This window comes from Homo sapiens, chromosome 1 (genome assembly GCF_000001405.40).
Source record: "Homo sapiens chromosome 1, GRCh38.p14 Primary Assembly".
In the NCBI taxonomy this organism is placed as follows: Eukaryota; Metazoa; Chordata; class Mammalia; order Primates; family Hominidae; genus Homo; species Homo sapiens.
In genome coordinates, this window is record NC_000001.11 from 10,663,451 (window position 1) to 10,682,157 (window position 18,707).

General features: G+C 60.8%; 1 protein-coding gene across 6 annotated transcripts in view, besides 7 other annotated features; it reads right to left on the bottom strand.

Moving 5' to 3' along the window:
* Window positions 1–18,707, bottom strand: part of CASZ1 (castor zinc finger 1) — a 160,043-nt gene that overhangs the window by 26,847 nt on the left and 114,489 nt on the right. For all 6 annotated transcript variants that reach the window (NM_001079843.3, XM_017001540.3, XM_047423404.1 and 3 more), the window contains one exon: window positions 1,633–2,121. In NM_001079843.3, the coding sequence (NP_001073312.1) occupies window positions 1,633–2,121 (489 nt within the window). The remainder of the gene's footprint in view (window positions 1–1,632; window positions 2,122–18,707) is intronic.
* Window positions 962–1,710: an enhancer, noted in NCBI's record as "H3K4me1 hESC enhancer chr1:10724469-10725217 (GRCh37/hg19 assembly coordinates)". NCBI's record gives its function as "activates a minimal SCP1, AML or CMV promoter by ChIP-STARR-seq in naive and primed H9 embryonic stem cells {active_cell/tissue: H9 hESC(naive and primed)}" and the evidence as "EXISTENCE:reporter gene assay evidence [ECO:0000049][PMID:30033119]".
* Window positions 1,711–2,458: an enhancer, noted in NCBI's record as "H3K4me1 hESC enhancer chr1:10725218-10725965 (GRCh37/hg19 assembly coordinates)". NCBI's record gives its function as "activates a minimal SCP1, AML or CMV promoter by ChIP-STARR-seq in primed H9 embryonic stem cells {active_cell/tissue: H9 hESC(primed)}" and the evidence as "EXISTENCE:reporter gene assay evidence [ECO:0000049][PMID:30033119]".
* Window positions 8,563–9,611: an enhancer, noted in NCBI's record as "VISTA enhancer hs289". NCBI's record gives its function as "enhancer in: neural tube[5/7]" and the evidence as "EXISTENCE:transgenic organism evidence [ECO:0001131][PMID:17130149]".
* Window positions 12,187–12,977: an enhancer, noted in NCBI's record as "H3K4me1 hESC enhancer chr1:10735694-10736484 (GRCh37/hg19 assembly coordinates)". NCBI's record gives its function as "activates a minimal SCP1, AML or CMV promoter by ChIP-STARR-seq in primed H9 embryonic stem cells {active_cell/tissue: H9 hESC(primed)}" and the evidence as "EXISTENCE:reporter gene assay evidence [ECO:0000049][PMID:30033119]".
* Window positions 12,978–13,766: an enhancer, noted in NCBI's record as "H3K27ac-H3K4me1 hESC enhancer chr1:10736485-10737273 (GRCh37/hg19 assembly coordinates)". NCBI's record gives its function as "activates a minimal SCP1, AML or CMV promoter by ChIP-STARR-seq in primed H9 embryonic stem cells {active_cell/tissue: H9 hESC(primed)}" and the evidence as "EXISTENCE:reporter gene assay evidence [ECO:0000049][PMID:30033119]".
* Window positions 15,346–16,135: an enhancer, noted in NCBI's record as "H3K4me1 hESC enhancer chr1:10738853-10739642 (GRCh37/hg19 assembly coordinates)". NCBI's record gives its function as "activates a minimal SCP1, AML or CMV promoter by ChIP-STARR-seq in naive H9 embryonic stem cells {active_cell/tissue: H9 hESC(naive)}" and the evidence as "EXISTENCE:reporter gene assay evidence [ECO:0000049][PMID:30033119]".
* Window positions 16,136–16,925: an enhancer, noted in NCBI's record as "H3K4me1 hESC enhancer chr1:10739643-10740432 (GRCh37/hg19 assembly coordinates)". NCBI's record gives its function as "activates a minimal SCP1, AML or CMV promoter by ChIP-STARR-seq in naive H9 embryonic stem cells {active_cell/tissue: H9 hESC(naive)}" and the evidence as "EXISTENCE:reporter gene assay evidence [ECO:0000049][PMID:30033119]".

Below are 18,707 nucleotides of genomic sequence, written 5' to 3' on the forward strand. Positions count from 1 at the left end.
CCTGACCTCAAGCTACACAGGGTTGGGGGGCCCAGCTAGGGAGGAGTGGGCTCTGGCTGCTGGATTCAGTGGCTCAGGGACCAGGGAAAGGGGCTAAAAATAGCTGGAGGCAGCTGAGCCCTCGCTATATATGGCAGAGAAACAGGCTTCGAAGGGCAGGCAGCTTGCACAGGGAGGGGACCAGGCAGGGGTCCCTGAGGGGGCCCACAGGCCTGCATGGCCGAGCCCAGGGCCCAGAGAAGGTGGCTTGGGGGCCGAGCCCACAGAGGCAGCCAAGGCTCCGCTGTCTGTGTCCTCCAGCGCTCAGCGCTGAGTAGGCAGTCCCAGTGTCGGGCTGAGGGGGCGAGGCCTGGATCCCTGAGGCCATTGGCAGTTCCAGGCCCGCCTCTGCCAGCCCCGCTCTCCACTCCTCTGGGGGAAGGAGGCAGGGGCTGAGGCCCACTCCGCTCCCCGTCAGCTGCGGGCAGAGCTGGCCTGGGTGGGGGTGTGGAGGGGACGGTGGCCCTTGTCGCGTTCCTCTCCTCTCCTCTCCTCAGGCCCAGCACAATCACCTTGTGTCTGGCAACGGCAAGGGCTTTTCCTATCAGAGGAAACTGAAGGTCACACTTTTCCTCATTGATCTCGCAATGTTTGTTAATTACTCTGTCACTGATGTGGCGAAGGATAATTAAACAGCTCTGTTTATATCTTACATGCATAATTATGTGGCTGCGCAGGGCTCCCCGCACGGGGAGGAGATGCACCCCTTGCTGCAGGGGAAGGGCTAGGGGAGCGGGCAGGGGAGGCGCAGGGCACCGGGCACAAGGCTGGGAAGGAGGCCGGGGGCAGAGAGAAGGCCCAGACCTGGGGGCTGTGGTCCTGGCGACCCCCTTGCCTGCTGGAACCCCCGGCCCACCCTCCCCTGAGCAGAAGGCGCGCAGGGCTGCTCTCGATCCCCAGGACATGGACATGGAGACACCAGCAGAGCAGGGCCTCAGTGCCTCGTGGGAGAGAGGTCAGCCAGGGGACCGTGGCCGGGGCAGCTGGCTGTAAGAGGATACGCTGGCCGGGCTGGCAATCCATGTGGCCCTGAGACGTCCTGCTGGGAGGGCCAGGGACAGCGGTGTAGGGAAGGAAGAGGAGGCCAAGGGGAGTGGCAGGAGAACAAAGCTTGTCCTGGGCTCCTCCGAGAAAGCTCCGTAAGTAGCAGAATGTGCAGACAGCAGGCTCACAGGCTCATGCCGTTGACCGCTGCGCCCCTCTTGTGCCAGGTACTGTGCCCGGTAAGCTCAGGCCTCACAGGTGTGTGTAAAGAGTCACCTGCCCACCATCTGTCCAGCCATCTATCCCATCCGTCTGTCTATCCACCCACCCGTCTATCCCTCCCTCCCTCCCTCCCCACCTGTCCACCCCTCTGCCTGTGGTTTCTTGAAGACCCACTGTGTGTGGGGCAGCTGCAGCCCTTCCCTTCTCACCTGGGGTGCCCCTCCCCGTCCTAGTCTCTCCCACTCCAGGAGCCCTCCCTGGGTGGGATGAGGGGCCGGTATTTAGAGCAGGAGTGAGGAGTCGGGTGTGCTTACCAGACACACTGCCCCTTCCCCACTGGCCTCCCTGTCCTGGCCTTCAGCCTCCCTTCGAAGGCCAGGCACCCACCTGAAGCCTGCCTGGTGCTGGGGCCGCTGTCCTCCTTGGAGGCTGCCCCGTCCGAATCCTTCTCCTCCAGGGCACCGCCGTCCTTGGAGGGCTCCTCCGCGTGGTCTTCCTCATCGCTGCACCCCTGGGGCTGCACCATGTAGACACCCTCGGGAGGCAGCTCCAGGCCCTCGCGGGCAATCCGCCCCAACACGGGTGTGGGTGCCGGCTCCTCGCTGTACTCCCCGTTCACCCACTTCTCGATCACTGCCCGTCTCTTGTCTTCCTCGCTGCGGGGGGCCCGGGCTGCCCCAGACTCAGGGCCACTGCGCTCTTGGTCCCGGGGCTGCGATGGGCTGCCCTCCGTGTGGGAGCCGGCGTCAGCTCGCTTCTCCACCACCACCTGGCGGCTCAGCTTGGCGCAGATGGCGTTCAGCTTCAGGCCACCCTTGCGTTTGGGCGCCATGGCGGGCTTGCCTGCAGGCGGGTCCGTGCACCGGGTGCCCTCAGCTGCAGGGATGGAGGAGAGCACGGAGGTCAGAGGCGTGCAAGGCCAAGAACAACCCACCCTCCCGAACAGCCCTGCATCCCCCAAGCTGCAGGCCTCCCCCATTGACCACAGTGCCATCAAACTGCCCTGAGACTGCCTGGCATGTGTCTATCTCCCCCACTAGTCTATGAGCTCCGTGGCCATGCTTGAGAATCACTCTACTTTCTGAGCCTGGCAGGGTGCCTGGCACAGAGTAGGTAGTTCAAGAACTAGTCTGTAAATGAACAAATGAATGAATGAATGCCTCTTCAACTACAAGGGGCGCCCAGGTCCTGGAGGCATTTCCTAGGCTTGCTGGGCCCTGGGAGGGGGTGTGCCCTTTGACACACAAGGAAACTGAGGCCCAGGGAGGTTAAGGAGCCGGCTATGCGGTCAGGCTGTCAAGGGACAGCGTGGCATTCCTGGCAGCTTGTTCCGCTTGGGAGCGTCCTGCCTTACCACACGTTCCTGGGGAGGAGTCACAGAGAGCCAGGGACCAGCTTGTGCCAGCCTCTTGCCTCACTGTCCCGGCAGCACTTGGCTGGCACCCTCCCACCCGAGCACGTCAGCCCCTGGCGGCTCCTCTGCCAGGCCAGGTCCCTGGGCCCTACCTGACTCCAACCCTGCTCAGCAGAGAGCAGAGATCTCCTTTTCTCCCAGCCACTCAGGACCCTCCCGAAGGCCTCCGTGTTCCTCAGTCTCCTCCCTGCCTCAGGGTCTTCTCCAGCCCTTGCCAGCCCCCTCTTGGCCTCTCTGTCCATTTCCTGTTGCCACTCCCTTCCCCAAGCCTCAGTCAGAGCCATCCAAGTGGAGTTCCTCATGGCACTTCCTAGGGCCACTTGTCCCTATCCTAGGACCTTGCTCCCCAGCCTCGGCCAGCCTCTGCAGCCCCGGAAGGCCTGGCCAGCCCACTTCCCAGCCCCCAGGAGCTCCAGCAGGTGCAGGGTGGGATCGCTTAGGTCCCTCACGGAACGCCCCGAAGCGCCGGTCACAGCACCTAATCCCCGAATGTGACAGCCCGACACACACAGCCGGAAGGAAGCCCTCATGAGGCGACTTGAGAGCCAGCGACCTCCCTCGCGGCCGCATAGCCCAAACTCTGTCCCTGATAGGGCACCGAGGGTCCTGGGGGGGCATACGGCAAGCCCACCCACCACACAGCCTGGGACCTGCCACAAAGGCTGGCGAGGGTGGACACACACACACGCACACACACGCGTGCACACACAGCGCAGCCACATGGAACTGTCTGTCTGTCCGTCCATTTAGTGAGCTCCTTCTGTGGGCCAGACCCTGTGGTGGGGCTTGGGGACAGCGCAGTGGCCACAGCAGCAGGGGCTCGGCTCACACTCACTGTGTACAAAACAAAATGTGCCTCTCCATGGCCCTCACGGGAGGAATGGGCGTGTCAGAGTCTCCACATAGGCGGGAAGGCTGAGGGCAGGGCCCCCCGGCTCCATGGTCAGAAGGGGCTTCACTCTAATGATCACCCCCTGCCAACTTTCCACATGCCAGGAAACCCGATGAGAGGCCTACCCAGGCGGGAATGGCAATACCTGGGTCCACCCAGGGGCCGCATCCCTGAGGTGGACTTGACTCATACGCACAGATAACCGTCCCCTGATAGACACAGTGCCTGGCCGTCCCAGCCAGATCCTTCCCTTGTAGCCAGTGGCCAGTACGGATGGCTCACTTGGCCCAGACGAGACAGGGTGACTCTAGCCCAGCCAGGCCCACTGCCAGAGAAGGGTCTTCTCAGCCCACTCCCAGGCCTTCCAGTCCTGTGACCCTGGCTTCAGGGCCTTAGACACTTGCCCAAGCCGATGCCCACTCTACCCAGGTTCGTCCACATCTCCAAGTCTGTGCCACCCACACCCAAGACCCCAAGCACGATGCGGGGCCCCTCTCGAAGTTCTGAGACGGGGCCTCCTCTTCACAGCATCCCACTCGACCTCGGAGCTGCCCAGCAGGTTCTGTGACGCCGGGTGTCCTCCAACAGGCCTCCGGGGAAGCGGGCCTCACCTGGTCCCCTCATCCCTTGCCCTGGATGGGGAAGGGAAGGGGGGAGTGGGGGAGCCTGCACTATTTTTACCAGGAGGTAAGCAGCCAAGTGTGGATGGCAGACAGCAAATGAATCTGTAAATATTTATCCTAAGGAAGAGGGAAGCAGAAGCTCCCAGGGCCGCACTTGCTGCTGGTGACGCCCCCTCCCCGGGCCCCCACCCATCCTGGAGCCTCCCCGCACTTTGGCCCACCCAGCCCAGCCCACCTTCTCCCCATCTCGGCTGTGTGCCTGGCTCAGTCCCTGCCCGGGCCCCCACCAGCTGCGGTGCAGCTGTGTACCCAGGACCCGCCCCCAGCCCCAGGCCCCTTTGCTCCTGCCGACTCCCCCGGCACCTGCCCTCCAGCTGCCGCGCTGCCCCAGCCCACCTGCCTTCCAGATGCTGCCCTCCCTCTCCCTCTCTTGCTGGTCCCAGGGGTGGAGGTGGGAGGCGTGTGGGCCGGGGACACAGGGGCAGGAGGCAGAGGTAGGGCTTAGGTTTGTAAGTGCGAGCGCGTGTGAGGCTGGGCGGCGGGAACAGGGGTGCGTTGGAGCTGAGGTCTAAGCTTTCCGCCGCCTTCCGGCCCAGGGCCCTGGGATCCATAGACGATCCGCCCCCCACCCCGCTGTGGTCTGACCCCAGACTCCTGTCCATGTAAACATTCCTCTGACTTTCTTCCCTAAAATATAAACGCCGTGGCCAGGCCTCAATGGAAGGAAGCCATCCGTCCCCGGCCCTGTCACTGCCCCTTTCATCTCCTTCCCGCCACCAGCCTGCCCGCTGCTCTATTTACACTGGACACTTCCTCTGGGAACAATACTGCCCAGGAGGCAGGCTTGGGCCAGAGGGTGGGAAGGCGAGGGGACTCCTGCTCTGCTTCCCCAGAGACGGGAGAGGCGAGGGGAGGGGCTGCCGAGGTGGGCTGGGCCGGGGCCTGGGACCCACACACAGTCAGAGCCCACTCTCTGCTGGTGGCGGTGCTCTTGGCCTCCAGCCTCTGGCCCCACGGGCTCTGGCGCAGCACCAGGGTATGGCCTAGCCTCTGGGGTCAGGGAGTTGGGAGCTCACGGCGGAGCTCTGCCCTGCGCTAGCTCTGGCCCTGGGCAAGATTTTTCCCTGTAGAAAGGCGGCCAGGCTGTTAGGTGAGAGAGGGCACCTGTCTGTGCCAAGCACAGGGCCTAGCAGGGATGAACCTGGGAAAAAGCAGCTGAGCCCTGGGAGGGCCACCAGGCAGATGTGGTGCCACACGTGAGCTTGAGATTCCAAGGCTGAGAAACCTTACCTGGCCTGGAAGAGGCAGGGGACAGAGAAGAGGCCAGAGGTCTGGGGCAGGGGCGGGCTGGCCTCTCAGCCCCTCCTCGGATTCCTAGGTTCGGGACCTTCCCTCTCAGGGCGCCACGAGCAGCAGGTCTCCCCGCAGGTCTCTGAGCTGAGGAGACCCTGCACAGGGTTGGGGAAAACGGGCATGGACTGGACCGTCCACCTTTCCGGGCACTAAGGCATGACTTGTAACGGCCCAGCGGAGCCGGCACTGTCATTGTCCCATTTCATAGAGGAGGAGGCTGTAGACACTCCAGAGCCCAAGCTCACCCTGGCCAGGAGCTCCCGAAGGCTGGGACTTGGCCCCATCCCCATTAGGGCCCCTAAGCCGGCCCTAGGAAATCCCAGGCCTCTCTGCGGGGACTCCTTCCCCTGCCCCGTCCCCTCCTCACCCTCGCTTCCTGTTCCCATAACACGGAGCCCCTTAAAGTGTTAACTGCGATGGGTAAAATGGTGCAGCAGATTGCTACAATAAATAATTTACTGATATTTATAAATATTCAAATCAGCCGGCTTCAGAAATCAAATGAAGGGAGGGCCTCGGGAGAAGGCCCCGTTATGGCATGAATCTCATCACCCCCTCCGTAGGCGGGGGCAGGCCAGGGCTCCTGCCAGCTCTGGGTGAGAGGGGCGTTCCTGTAGCTGCACCGCATCCCCAGTCCCCTGATCTCACTGCTCTCTGGAGGTAGCCTGCTCACCTGGTCAGGGCCAGGCCCCCTCCCGCAGGCATCCTGGGTTCAAGGGGAGGAGAGGCTGCAGTGCCCACCGCCCATGGCCCTGGGTCTCAGAGTTGCTTGTCCTGCCTCAACGGTGGGTGGGTGGGGGTCTGTCCCAGGGGGCCGGGCAGGCCTGGCAGCCCCTCCCCAGCCGTGAGTAATGTGTTCTGGGGCCGGGCTGCCTGTCAGCTCCCAGGCTCCGGGTGCTTTATGGGCTCTGCTTGGTGGCTCTGAACTCCCTGGTAGGAAATAAAGTTCTCCCTGCGCGTCCCTTCTAAACATTTCACTCAGTGGAAACGGTGTTCAAGAAAAATGAGGACATATTTCTTCCTAAGGATGCAGTATCCCCTTTGGGCGGCCTAATGCCCGCTGTATATCAGGAGGTGGGGAGGCAGGGGCCAGGAACCAGACCCCTGGGTTGGGGGTGGGCTGGGGCCCTGCCTTCCCACTGCCAGGCAGCTCGGGGGCCACTCTGGTAGCTGCCCTGGGCCATGGTGTCTGGGGCCATAGAGCAGCTGGCATCCTCTGAGCACCTCGTCTGTGCTGGGTGCCTTACAGTGCCACCTTGGTGATGCCCCCAGGATCTCCACATGGTCGGCTGTCCTGTCCATTCCCACATAAGGAAGCAAAGGCCGCGAGGCTGGTAGCTGCCCACAGTCAGTGCTGGAGCCCAACTGCCACCAGGCTCAGATGCCCAAGGTCATAATCTTCAACCCCACCTGTGTCCCCCACAGCCTCCCGCCTAGGCATCCTGGAGTCAGGGGCGGGCGGCTGCCGGGGCTTCCACCCTGCCATTTACTTCCGAACTTGCAGCTCACAGGCCACAAGCCCCAGTTTTGGGGTGCTGTGCTGGTGTCCTTTCAACAACCTCTCTCTTGAGTACCGTGTACAGACCAGACCCTGGGCTGACTCCTCAGGCTATGATGTGGGCACACAGGCAGCCCTGGCTCCTGTGCCGCGGATCCTCAGTTCAGACTTGGGAATGAACACTTCAAAGCCAGTACAAGAGCCATCTCTGTAGTGGGCATCAGAGGTGCCACAGGAGTGGCAGGTCTGGAGGCCAGCAAGGGCCAGGAAGGGCCCAGGCATCTACCCCTCCTCCCTCCTCTACCTCACAGCCCATTTCCGCCTGAACGGTTCCTTCCCCATCCTTCAGCTGTGACCCCTCCCCCACCAGCCAGGACCCGTCCCCTCCATCCCCTCCGAGAAGGGAGTCCTTCCCTCTTGGACCCAATTCTATCCCCAGCTCCAAACAGAAGGGCCTCTAAGTTCTGTGGGAGGAATGGTTGCTGCTCCCTAGGGGTTCAGCCAGGGCCCGAGGGGTTCAGCCGGGTCCCCTGGCCCTCAACAGCTCCAACTTGGGTGGGGGGCATGCTTGGCCACTGGGCCCTAGCTTGCCCCACTTTGTTTATTTATTTATTATGATTTTTTTAGTCCAGTTAAAAGGTTCGCTATCCAGACGCGTCTAAGTGGCCTCACTTAGCGTAAGTAACTCTATAAATCAGGGGAACTGTTAGCATCCACCGCACAGGCTGGCTATCAATCTCCCCCAGGTCACAGCCAAACAGGAAGGGGAGAAAAAAGAGAGTTACCACCCAGGGGAGATTTAAAACACACACACTGAGCAAACGCGCACAGACCGCGTGCATGCCTGTGCGCGCGCACACACGCTCGGATGCCTGTGTTTGTACAATCCCGTTATATTCACATGTGCACATGTGGAATCTCAGAGTGCTGCGTGTGGTCGTGGTAACAGAACACAAACATGGCTCCTGCAGCCATGAGGGGAGACAGATGTGAGGGAAGGGGCTTCGGGTGAGCCTAGGACCCCCAGGGCTGGGCTGACTCTCAGTGCCTGAGCTGCCCTGCTCCGGGCAAGTGTCTCTGGAGGGCAGTGGAAGGGGTCTGATTGGTCCCCTCCCCTCTCTGTGGCCCCCACCTCTGCCAAACCCAAAGGGCCCAAGCTTTTCCCTTTCCCAGCCCCAGGTGGGCACTTGGCAGGGGGGTGGAGCCTGGAAAAGGAGGCAGGAGGCTGTAAGCTGTGGGCCACCGCAGCGGAGCATGATGTCACCTCGGGTCCTTACTCGCTATGCCCGAGGCTGGCACACCCCAGATGCGGCACTGGGCTCAGGAAAGGCAGCATCATCTAAATGGGTGGCCAAATGCCATGCAGTGCACTGGAGGGTGCGAGGCTAGGATGATGGCAGAAACACCCTGCCTTTTCACGGGAGCAGGTGTGGCTGGCTGGGTGTCCACACAGCCTGGACTGCCCTGGAGAGGCCCCAGACCTAGACAGCCCCACAAGCTGTGCCATGCCAGAGACCGGAGTGGGAGAGGCGGCTCCTGGCATCTGCTCTAGGTCCCAGAGACGGACATGGGCAAGGCAGCCCGAGGTGGGGGACCTGCCCAGGCCACCTCCTTTCCCTGCTTGCCCGAGAGGCCTCCCCGGCTCACCCGCCCGCCGCATCTCCCCATGAACTCTATTTCTCTTTCCTCTCTGAAAACAACTGAGCTGTAAATACTGTTTAACCTTCTCCCCCCTCCCCCCGCCACCCCCTCCCCTCCGCACTATAAAAACACAAATATGCCATAACTCAGCCGCCCGGCCGCCCAGCCTCCAACATGCCCCGCGCCCGGGCCTCTCAGGAAGGTCATTACAAACGACTTTCCGATTCACTGCTCCTGAAATAATTTTGTGTATTAAAACCTGAATCTGCACTTTCTGGGGCCGAAAGCCTCGCTTAATTATGGCGGGTGTCCTTGGGACGGACAGTGATCCTTCACTCGCCAGCCCGCGCTCCAGCCCTCCGCCCGCCGGCCCGCCCCCCTCCCCGGGCCCAATCTGTTTTCAAAGTGTGTCTGTCCTTTATTAAATTGTTTTCTTTTCCACATTATCAGTTGCCATGGAGACCTCATCTCTCGGATTATTTGAATTTCATTATATCTATTGATTTGGGAGCATTTCATCTTTTTTATTGTTTTTCTGTCAATTTTCAAAACGAATAACCATCTAATTTGCGTCAGTGCTGATTATGTTTGTCCCTCAATAGAGGTCGGCAGCTGCGCTGGGGAAACAAATCAATGAAAAACCATCATAAAACTCCCCACTCCAGTCTCCAGGATGTGTGGGTGACATTCCACGCCTGCGAGAGACACACTCATCAGCTCCAACTTCGGCGACGGTGGCGGCGGCTCCGTTCCACGTCCGCCTCCTTTGGCCTTAATATTTAATTTTGCGATTTGGGGCATTATTAGTGGTGTTTTTATTAGCGCGTGTGCCTGTGAGTGTTTGGAGGTGGGCTGGCGGTTCCATTAATTTGTGGGTGAGGCAGGGAAGCCCCAGAGGAAGGCACGGTGGACGGCGTTGGGGTGCAGTGGCGAGTGGAGAAAAGAGGGGAAAAGCTCCGAGGGGGGCGGGAGCCTGGGGACCGGGAGGGCCCTGCGGAGGGGCTGGAAAAGGGGGACCGAGTGAAGGGGAGGAAAAGAGGGAATTCAAATTGCTTACTTTGTTGGTTTTTTTAAATAATTTATGCAATTTTAAGCATTTATGTATAAATTTTTTAATAAGCCACCCTGGAGCAGGATGGCCATTAACATCCAACGTCCTTCTGTCCAATGGGCTGGCGGAGAGGATCAATTTCTGAGAGTACTTTCCCTTTTTTATGACATGATAAAATGCTTTTAAAGCAACTTACACAAATATGGAAATTTTTTTTCGTCCCCTCTCCCTTCGCCTAACAGCCTTCTTATCCGCCAGGGAGGGGGAGGTTGTGTGTGTGCACACACGCGCGTGCACGCACACACACTCTCTCGCACTCTTGTGCTCACGCTGCCTCTCTCCTGCTGGGGAGGGGGGCTGAGGGGGCTGGCAGGGAGACAGCCCCAGTTCTAACTGGAACTGGCCGCCTGTCCTTCTAACAAGGGCATAAACTTTCATTACCCATGCACGCAGTCAAAGACAATTTAGGGAAACGCGCTGCTTGGAAAAGGAAAACCTCAGCGATTCGTGGCCCATGCTGCTGCCACCATCTGGGGGGCTCTCACCTCCAGCTCTAGGGAACCCGGTCCCTGAACCTCTGGCCCTGCCAGCAGGAGGTGGGGCGAGGGCAGGACAGCTTCCATGTGGACCCTCCGTGGGCAGGAGAGCCCAGAGAGTAAGGGTCTCCTCCTTGGCTCAACAGGACCATCCATGCCTCGGGCTGAGGCCAGGCGCCCTGGGTCTTGCCCTCCTTGCCCTCTCTGGATGGCCTGTACTAACCCCAACCAGGGCTAGCCCTTGAGGGCAAGTGCAGGCCTCTGTCATCCCTGCCACCGCAGTGCCTGGATCAGAGCAGAAGCTCAGCTATGCAGACGGACAGACTGACAGATGGACTGAATGGCGACAAGGCAGGGAAACAGGCCCTAAGGTATCCTGAGGTGCCTGTAGGGGCCCCACAGATGCTGGGGCAAGATGCCCTCCCCAGGTGCCCCTGCACTAGAAGCAGCTCTGGTGCAGAAGTGCCTCTTCCTACAGAGTCAGGGCATTGGCCACCATCACCCCTACCTGGGCATGAGCCCCTGACTTCCCCGGAGATGGGAAGACCTTCTAAGAGGAGGGCCAGTGCCTCCAGGTCTCAGGGTGACCCTGCCTCACCTGCCTGCTCCCTCTCCTGATGAAGGCAAAGAGGAACCTGAGAGATGCCCGGCCCAAGCCCCCACCAGCCGACGCAGACAGTCCTGAATCCAGCGTGGGGTCCGAGCCTTCCCCGGCACCGCTGCTGCGGGAGGGCGTCCAGCCCTCTGAGGCCACCGTGGGGCACCTGGGCTTTGGCAACTTCCACATAAGACAAATCGACTCCAGAGACCTGGCCCCTTGGAAAGCTCATCACTTCAGCGTCTTCCCTGCCCTGGGCTCGGGTCCCCAACTGTAACACAGCGTTGCTGAGGGGATGATGTGGGCACACGTCTGGCTGGGGCTGCAGAGCACACGGTGCCTCCCTGATGCTCCACGGTGACTGTGGGCAGAGTCCCCTCCTCGGAGCCGGGAGCACTGCTTCCTGCCTGGTAACTGCAGGGCACCGCGGACCTGGAGTTCAGCCCCGTGTGGCCCTGCTCACCTCTGCCTGGGGATCTGAGAGCTGCCCTAGGCCTCCTGCTCCCATCCCCGCTAAAGCCAACTTCTTCCTGGGCCTCACCTGCCCCAGCCATCCAGGCCCAGTCTGGAGCTGACCAGTGGGCAGCCCAAGAAGGTCCCCATGGGTCCCTGGGCCCTCTGTCGTGGCAGCAGGGGAGCAGCCCTGGCTGCCCCAAGCCCTCCGTGGGGATGCAAGGGGAGCGCCCACCCCTCCTGTTTTTCTGTGCTCAGATACCCCCCGCAACCAACTGTCATTAAAATAACAAGTTTCTGTTACAATCTAAACATTCCCACATCGCATAAAGGGTTATATTACACCCGAGTCACTCCCGGCCCATGTTTGCACAGAAAAGCTCACGGCAGGTCCCCCCTCCTGACGAAGTGACTTATTAAAGTTTAAACAGTAATTAACAGAACAATAAAAATAAAGGGATGTTTGGGGAGTCGTAGCGCACACAGGGTTTTTGGCAGTGCCAGCAGTTTTTCAGTGCCCTGCGCTGGCAGCAAAATGTGACTGTGAAGCCAGTGGGGACAGAGGACGGGGCCAGGGTCGAGCCAGGGAGTCCTGAGGCCTAAAGGGCCAGAAACCCCGAGGCAAGGCTGGCGGGAAGGAATGGGGGTCCTGGGGTGGCAGGGTGGGCACAGTGCGAGCAGGCGGGGTGGTCTGGCATGGGCAGGGAACAGGCCTGGGTGGGGAGGCTTCAAGAGGGGTGAGGCCAGTGCCCAGCTCAGCCTCAGGCACTTCCGGGAGCCCAGTGCCTCGGTCACATCCGGCCAACTCCGCACGGACCTGGCTGGGGGAGGTGCCAGGTCCCCCGACACTGCGGGCATTAGGAGACCCTGCAGTTAATGATTCCTGGGGCTGGACCCCAGCCACTCTGGGCTCCTCTCCCAGTTGGGCAGGTACCCCTACCCCTGCCTCTGGATCCTGTGGCCAGGGCACTATGGGAACTCTCCTGGCCCCTATTAAGCATGGGTAAGGACTCGGGGGCCAGCCAGCCTAGCACATGACCCCCCCCCCACCCCCAACAAAGGGAGAAAGTGGCCAGCTTCCTGGGCCAGGTGGGTCCCCAGCGGCAAAGTCCTCTTTCCCCAAGGTTTGCAGGGAGCTGGCCTGGCAGGCCGGTCCGGGCCAGAGCTGCCTGGGATGGGCAGGGCTAGGCCTGTTACCCTCAGCCTTGCCTCTTCTCCCTCAAGTTCCATCCCAGGGGCTCAGACACCTGCCTGCCAGGGATGGCAGAGACAGTCAGGATGAACCAGGCGCCCAACCCCAGCAGCCAGGGAGGGGCCCCAGGAAGAGGGCGGGGCTCCCCCTGGACCTAGGCCTGCTCAGAGGCTTGGGGGCCAAGGAAGGAGGGACAGCAGGAACCCCTGAGGGTCACACAGAATGTGTGATCTCAGGGTGGTGACAAACCCATGCCAACCAAGTGACAGACACCAAGGCCCTGCTGGACTGGCCCGGACCCCCGTCCCCCATGCTGCTTCTCATTCCCTCTCCCGGAAGCCCTGGGCTCCCGCTATTGTCGGCCACGTTGAGGGAGGGCCCCTGCCTGTCCCATGCTCACCCCTGTCCTTCCTCTCCAAGGAGAGCCACCACAGAAGCAAAGCTCTCACTCCATCACACAGCGTTAGCCCCAAAAGGTGACCTTTCAACAGAACATCCCCAATGCAGGCTCTTCCCACCAGGACAAAGAAGACACCAAGAGCCCCCGGGGAGGCCTCTCCACCATCCTCTGAACAAAGGGGCTCTCCTCCTGGGCTCCTCCATCTCTCTCTGTGCCTCTCCATCTCTCTCTGTGCCTCGGTGGACCAACCTGCCTAGGGGTGCCCTGGGATCCTATTTCCACAGCAGGCCTCCCTCCACCTTGGTGCCTGCCCTCGACCAGCCTACAGCTCAGAAACGAGCCCCTGGCCCGGGGCGAGCAGCCCCACAGTTTCCTGACGTGGACGCCTTTGCTGGTTCCTCCACGTCCCAGCCACACAGGCCAGCAGGAGCCTCTGTGAAGCCTGCATGGAGAAGAGATGCTGGGCTGGGCCAGAGACTCTCTCTAACATCCTGTCTCCCGGGATCTAGGTCCTGGCAGCTGGCGGGTATCAAGGGCATGCACTCTGTCCGGGCTGAACCCCATACTGCCTGGCTCTGCCACTGCCTCTCGCTGAGGCCCCTGTGGGCACAGCCAGTCAGGGGGTGCAGGGCCCCACAGACTTCAGTGCTGCCTGGGCTCTGGCACGTAGGACGTGAAGGAAAGCCAGCAGCTTTTCTCCCCCTCTTTCCTGGGCAGAGCCCCCTGGGGCTCCATCGCCCCCCGCCTCCAAGATGAGTGAGTCACGGTGAGGGCAGAGTGGAGGGTCGAGACAGAGAGAGCTCAGGAGGGGGCAGGTGATGCCTCCCAAGCCTCCAGCCGCTCTGCTCAGGCTGGAAGGAACGCCAGGAGCTCACACTCCCTCGCTGCTGGAGGAGGCAGACGGAGTCACCCAGCGCCAAAGCCTCGCTGGAGCAGGAGGGGGCAGGGGAAGGCACCTTCAGGGTCAGGGGAAGGATTGACAGAGGGCAAGGCAGAGGGTGTCTGGGTGGCACCGAGGAGGGCAGGAGGGGACAGGGGCCTTCTCATGGGTACGTCTAAAGTGGGCAAACAGGGAAGCAGCTGCTCGTCCTGACCCACTGTTTCTAGAACCTGTGTGTGGGGCATGGCAGGGGTGTGGCAAGTGGCTCTGGCTGGACACGGAGCTAAGGAGGGCAGCCTGCACTTAGGTCCAACGCACCTTGGGACAGGGGACAGCTATCAGGGTGGAGGCTGTCCTAGGTGCACAGAACTTTAGACCTGGAAAGGGACCGAGGTCCAAGAGGCTGAGAAACTTGGCAAAAGCCCAGGCCACTCACTCGTGAGGACTAGGCAGATCCAGGGGCCCAGTTCCCAGTCTGAGCCCTCTCCGGCCCAGCAAATCCAATGCTACACATTTCTGTTTCAAAGCAGAGCTTTCCGCAGCCTTGGAGATTGCACCAGGCCCCTCGGGCCCCAAATACCACAAAGGCCCCCTGCTGCGGAGGATTTGAGCCACACATGGCCCAGTGGGCAAGGACCCCAAATGGCTCTGAACCAGCACCTGCGGTGTGCGAGGCCTGGAAGCCAGGCTCCCCCGTTCTCCAGGGGAAGCAAAGTGGAGGCTGGCTGCGTGGCCTGGCTGACCCACCGGAAATGGGTAGGACGTGTGTGGCAGGAGGGGACCTTTCTCTTGCAGGGACTGAGACCCTGAGACCTTCCAATGTGTGTTGATGGGGAGACAGGGCAGGCGCTCTCTGGGGATGAGAGGGAAAGCCTGGACTAGAGAGGCCCCGGACAGCAGGCCCAGCCCAGGAGAGGCGGCGGCGTGGGCAGCAGGTGGCAGAGGAACACGGGGTGGCACACCACCCGCCCTCCCTGCAGCCCGTCTCCACAATCCCCTTGCTGAGGCCAGCGACGGCGACCATGACGAGGACATGAGGGGACTAATTTAGGAGTATTTTTAAAACGGTGGCCCTGTGGAGGGCTTGAGCAGTTGTCAGCCATCTGGAAGAAGGAATTACAATCACCTCCCTAATCCTATATTCCCTAAACCCTAAAGCTGGTTACAGTGTGAGGGAGAGGCAGCAGGTGGGTGGGGGTGGGGGGGTCTGTTCCAGAGTGGGGCAGAGCCCAGGGAGGTGCCCACAGGGCCGGGGCAGCACCGCCCCCGCGAGGGGGCCCGAGGCCGGGGCTGAAGATCCCAGTGTCCTCTGAGCCCACCCAGCTCCCCCACCCGTTCACGCACACTCGCTCCCTGGGCCGCGCCGGCTCGCGCAGGGGCCGTCAGGTAAATTAGATCTGAAAGCTGACAATTTCTGACCATATTTCCTTGATTATTTCAAACAAATGCACAGCAGCCGCTGTAAGGAGATTAAAGTGACATAAACGTCCCGAGCGGGAGGGGGGAGGGCAGAGGATTCAGGTCACCCCCATCCGTCCCCCGCCTGACAGACGCTATATCGCTATCCAATCCAATAAAAAATCCCCCCCTTTTGCTTTAATTAATTTTACAGCTAGCTTGCTTAATTACTTTCAATCAAAATCCTCCTGCCATCGCAAAATTAGAGATGGTTGAGCTCCATTAGCCTAAATTCTTCATTTCCATATAGAAAAGAGGCTGTCTGCAGAGCCAGCCTGGGCCCCTGGCAGGACAGACGCCCGTCTGCCCGCCCGCTGTGAGCCAGCCCACCCCTGGCTTCCGCTCTCTGGCTATCTCTGGCCTATGCGTGTCCCCTCACTCTCCTCCATCACTGCTCCCTGGGCCATGAAGAGCTGAGGTTCAGGAGGGGTACCCGCTGCCCCGACTTCCCAGGATTCACGAGGGGACTGCAGGGCTGGCACAGAGCTCTCCGCCAGGGCCTGCTGCTTTTGATGAAAGCATAGGCTGATCCTGGGAGCCTGCTGCCCTGCCAAAGGGCCCCTGCTGCCTCCAGGACAGAGCCTAGTCCCAAACCTGAGGCAGACAGGTCTCCTGGGCCATCTGCACCACATGCCCCAGGAAGCGGTCCCTCTCCCAGCAGGCGGAAACACTCCCAACCCCGGACTTAGGCCCCTGTCAGAATAGACCCCTGGAGCCAACGCCACCCAGGGCTCCCTCTGCCGATTCCAGGCTGGAGTCATTGTTCACCATCAGGATGACTCGGGCCAGCTGTCTCGATGGTGCTACCAAGCAATGTAGCAGCCCCCACATACTCTGGCATTCTCCTAGGGCCCCCCGCGGGCCCCTCCTCCCCATACCATAGTCCTGGTTCCCAGCCTGCAACAGCTGCACCTCCACCCCCAGCCTGGGTCGAGTGGGTGGTGGGTCTGGGCTCTGTCCACATCCTGTGCCTGCACGGGCACCCTTCTCCTCCCCTCCACCTGCCTCATCTTCACAGTCCCCAACCCCAACTCTGGAAGCTCCACTTCAGGTTTTCCATACTACAACCCCGAGTGTCACCACAGGGTCCGGCCCAACCTGGGCTCCAGCTGATTAAGGATCTGCAACAGGATGTAGGGATTACAGTAAAACCTGGCTCCGGATCTGCAGGGGCAGCAGGCCAAGTCCCAGCCCTGGGACTCCCCTCCCCTACCCTTCCAGCATCCCTACCCATTACCCGTCCCAAACCCAGCTGCCAAGTGAGGGAGGAAGGCTGAGCCCCTTGGCCCTTAGGGGACTCCTGGCTGGACTCTAGGGGGTCTGGACTGAGAAGGGGTGGCATTAAGGAGCCCAGGCCAGCTCCTGCAGAAAGGCTGGGGTGGGGCAGGCTGGGGAAGGGGAGTGATGGCTTTATGCCGCCTGGCTTCCTTCTCAGGGAACCAATGTGAAGGTGGGGTGTCCTGGGCCTGACCTCTGGGCAAAGGCTGAGTAAGCAGGGAAGGAAGTACCCTAAAGGCCAGGAGAGCCCCTTCCAGGCAGAAGGCCTTACGATGCTGCCGGAGGGCTCCGGCTGGATGGCACGGGGCGGGGCGGCGGGGGATGGTGGAGGGGAGGGGGGTGCGAGGCCGGCTCTGGGGGTGGAGGAAGGAGCTGAACTTGGACCCCCAGGGCCTGTCTTCTGGACACCAGGGACCCACAGGTCTGTCTGCAGGCTCCTCATTAGTCCTGCTCTAAAGGTGAACTCAAATCCTCTCCTCCTGGCTTGGTTGAGTTTCTCAAATATATCCTGAGCAGCTACTGGCACTGCCCCCTCTGCCCTAGGGATCCTGGGAGGATGGCTTTGGGTCTCAGGGGGTGCAGTGTTGCACGCTCCAGCATTACTGTGTCACACTCCAGAGCGCAAAGGGTAGGGCAACTTTGGGCTGGAGGAGGGCGTCCAAGAGGCCACACCCCGGCTGGGCCCTGAGGTCAGCGGGTGGAGAAGGTGAAGGGGCAGGCGGGCAGACGGACTTGCTGCTGAGCCCAGCTGGGCCCTCTCCAGTTCCTCCATGCAGGTCTGAAGCCTCCGTCCCACCCCACTACCAATGAGTCACCAGCAACAGGGACTAGGAAGCGGGAAAGCAGACGCAGCCCCAGTCTTTGGGGACACACACTGACTTCCCGGGTGTTCCCCCTCCCACTGGGGCAGGGCTGGGGCCTCACCCCCATCTTTCTTTCTTTCTTTCTTTTTTTTGGAGACAGGGTCTTACTCTGTCGCCCAGGCTGGAGTGCAGTGGCACAATCTCGGCTCACTGCAACCTCCACCTCCTGGATTCAAGCGATTCTCCTGCCTCAGCCTCCCAAGTCGCTGGGATTACAGGCGCCTGCCACCACACTTGGCTACTTTTTGAATTTTTAGTAGAGACGGGGTTTCGCCATGTTGGCCCGGCTGGTTTCGAACTTCCAGCCTCAAGTGATCTGCCCGCCTTGGCCTCCCAAAGTGCTGGGATTATAGGCAGGAGCCACCGTGCCTGACCTTTTTTTTTTTTTCCTTGAAGTCTTTTATCCATTACCCTCATCCCCATCCTCACCCTGACCTCCACGCCTGGCCCAGGTGGGTCGGGATGGTGGAAGGGTGGACAGAAGAGCATGTACGGGGTCAGTCACTCAGAGATCAAAGGGCACAGCCCAGACCCTACTCCACCTGCCAGCCAGCCCATGTGAGGCAGCGCCCGCCTCTCCCTGCCAGGCCCTCAGCACGCTGCCCCCTCAGCGGCAGAAACTGCTCCTTCACCTCAGAGCCCGGCCACCCCTCCTCCTACACAGCCTTCATGGGTCCCAGCTGACATTTCACTTTCTCTGGGCAGCCTCCCGGGACTGTCCTCTCCCTCTGTCCTCACTGCACCCTGTCCTAGTCTTAGCACTTTCATAGTAACTTGTTTAATTAGACCTCTGCCTCACCAGACTGCAAGATCCCTGGGACGAGACCACTGTTTCAGCGCAGTGTCTGGCCCAACAAATATTGACTGAGTGAATGCAGAAAACCCAGTGCTTCTGGAGCTCGTTAGGGTGGCGCTGGGCCCCAGGGACGTGGCCTGGCTTCTGGACTGACCCCCTCGGGGCTCCAGGAACCTTTCCTGGAGGGGTGGGGTGGGGACTCCCTGGGTGGGACTGAGCTGAAGCCCCTTCTCTTGGGTCTCTGGCCCTCTTGAGCCCCAGGCTCACCTCCAAACGCCCTTCACAGGGCTCTACCCAGAGAACAAAAGAGGCCCCAGTTGTTCGAACATTTCTCGGCGAGAGGAACAACTGTTGCTGGCCAGTCCCTTTCTGAATAAATCCTGCAACTGTTTGCAGTGAAGTGCGACTCTCTCCCTCCACCTCCTGTCCCTGTCCCAAAAGGAGAAAAGGGGATTGAAAAAAAGATGGGGGAAAATCCCATACCAAGCCCCACCATCTCCCTACATCCACTTTCAAGTTTGTCTGAAAATGTTATA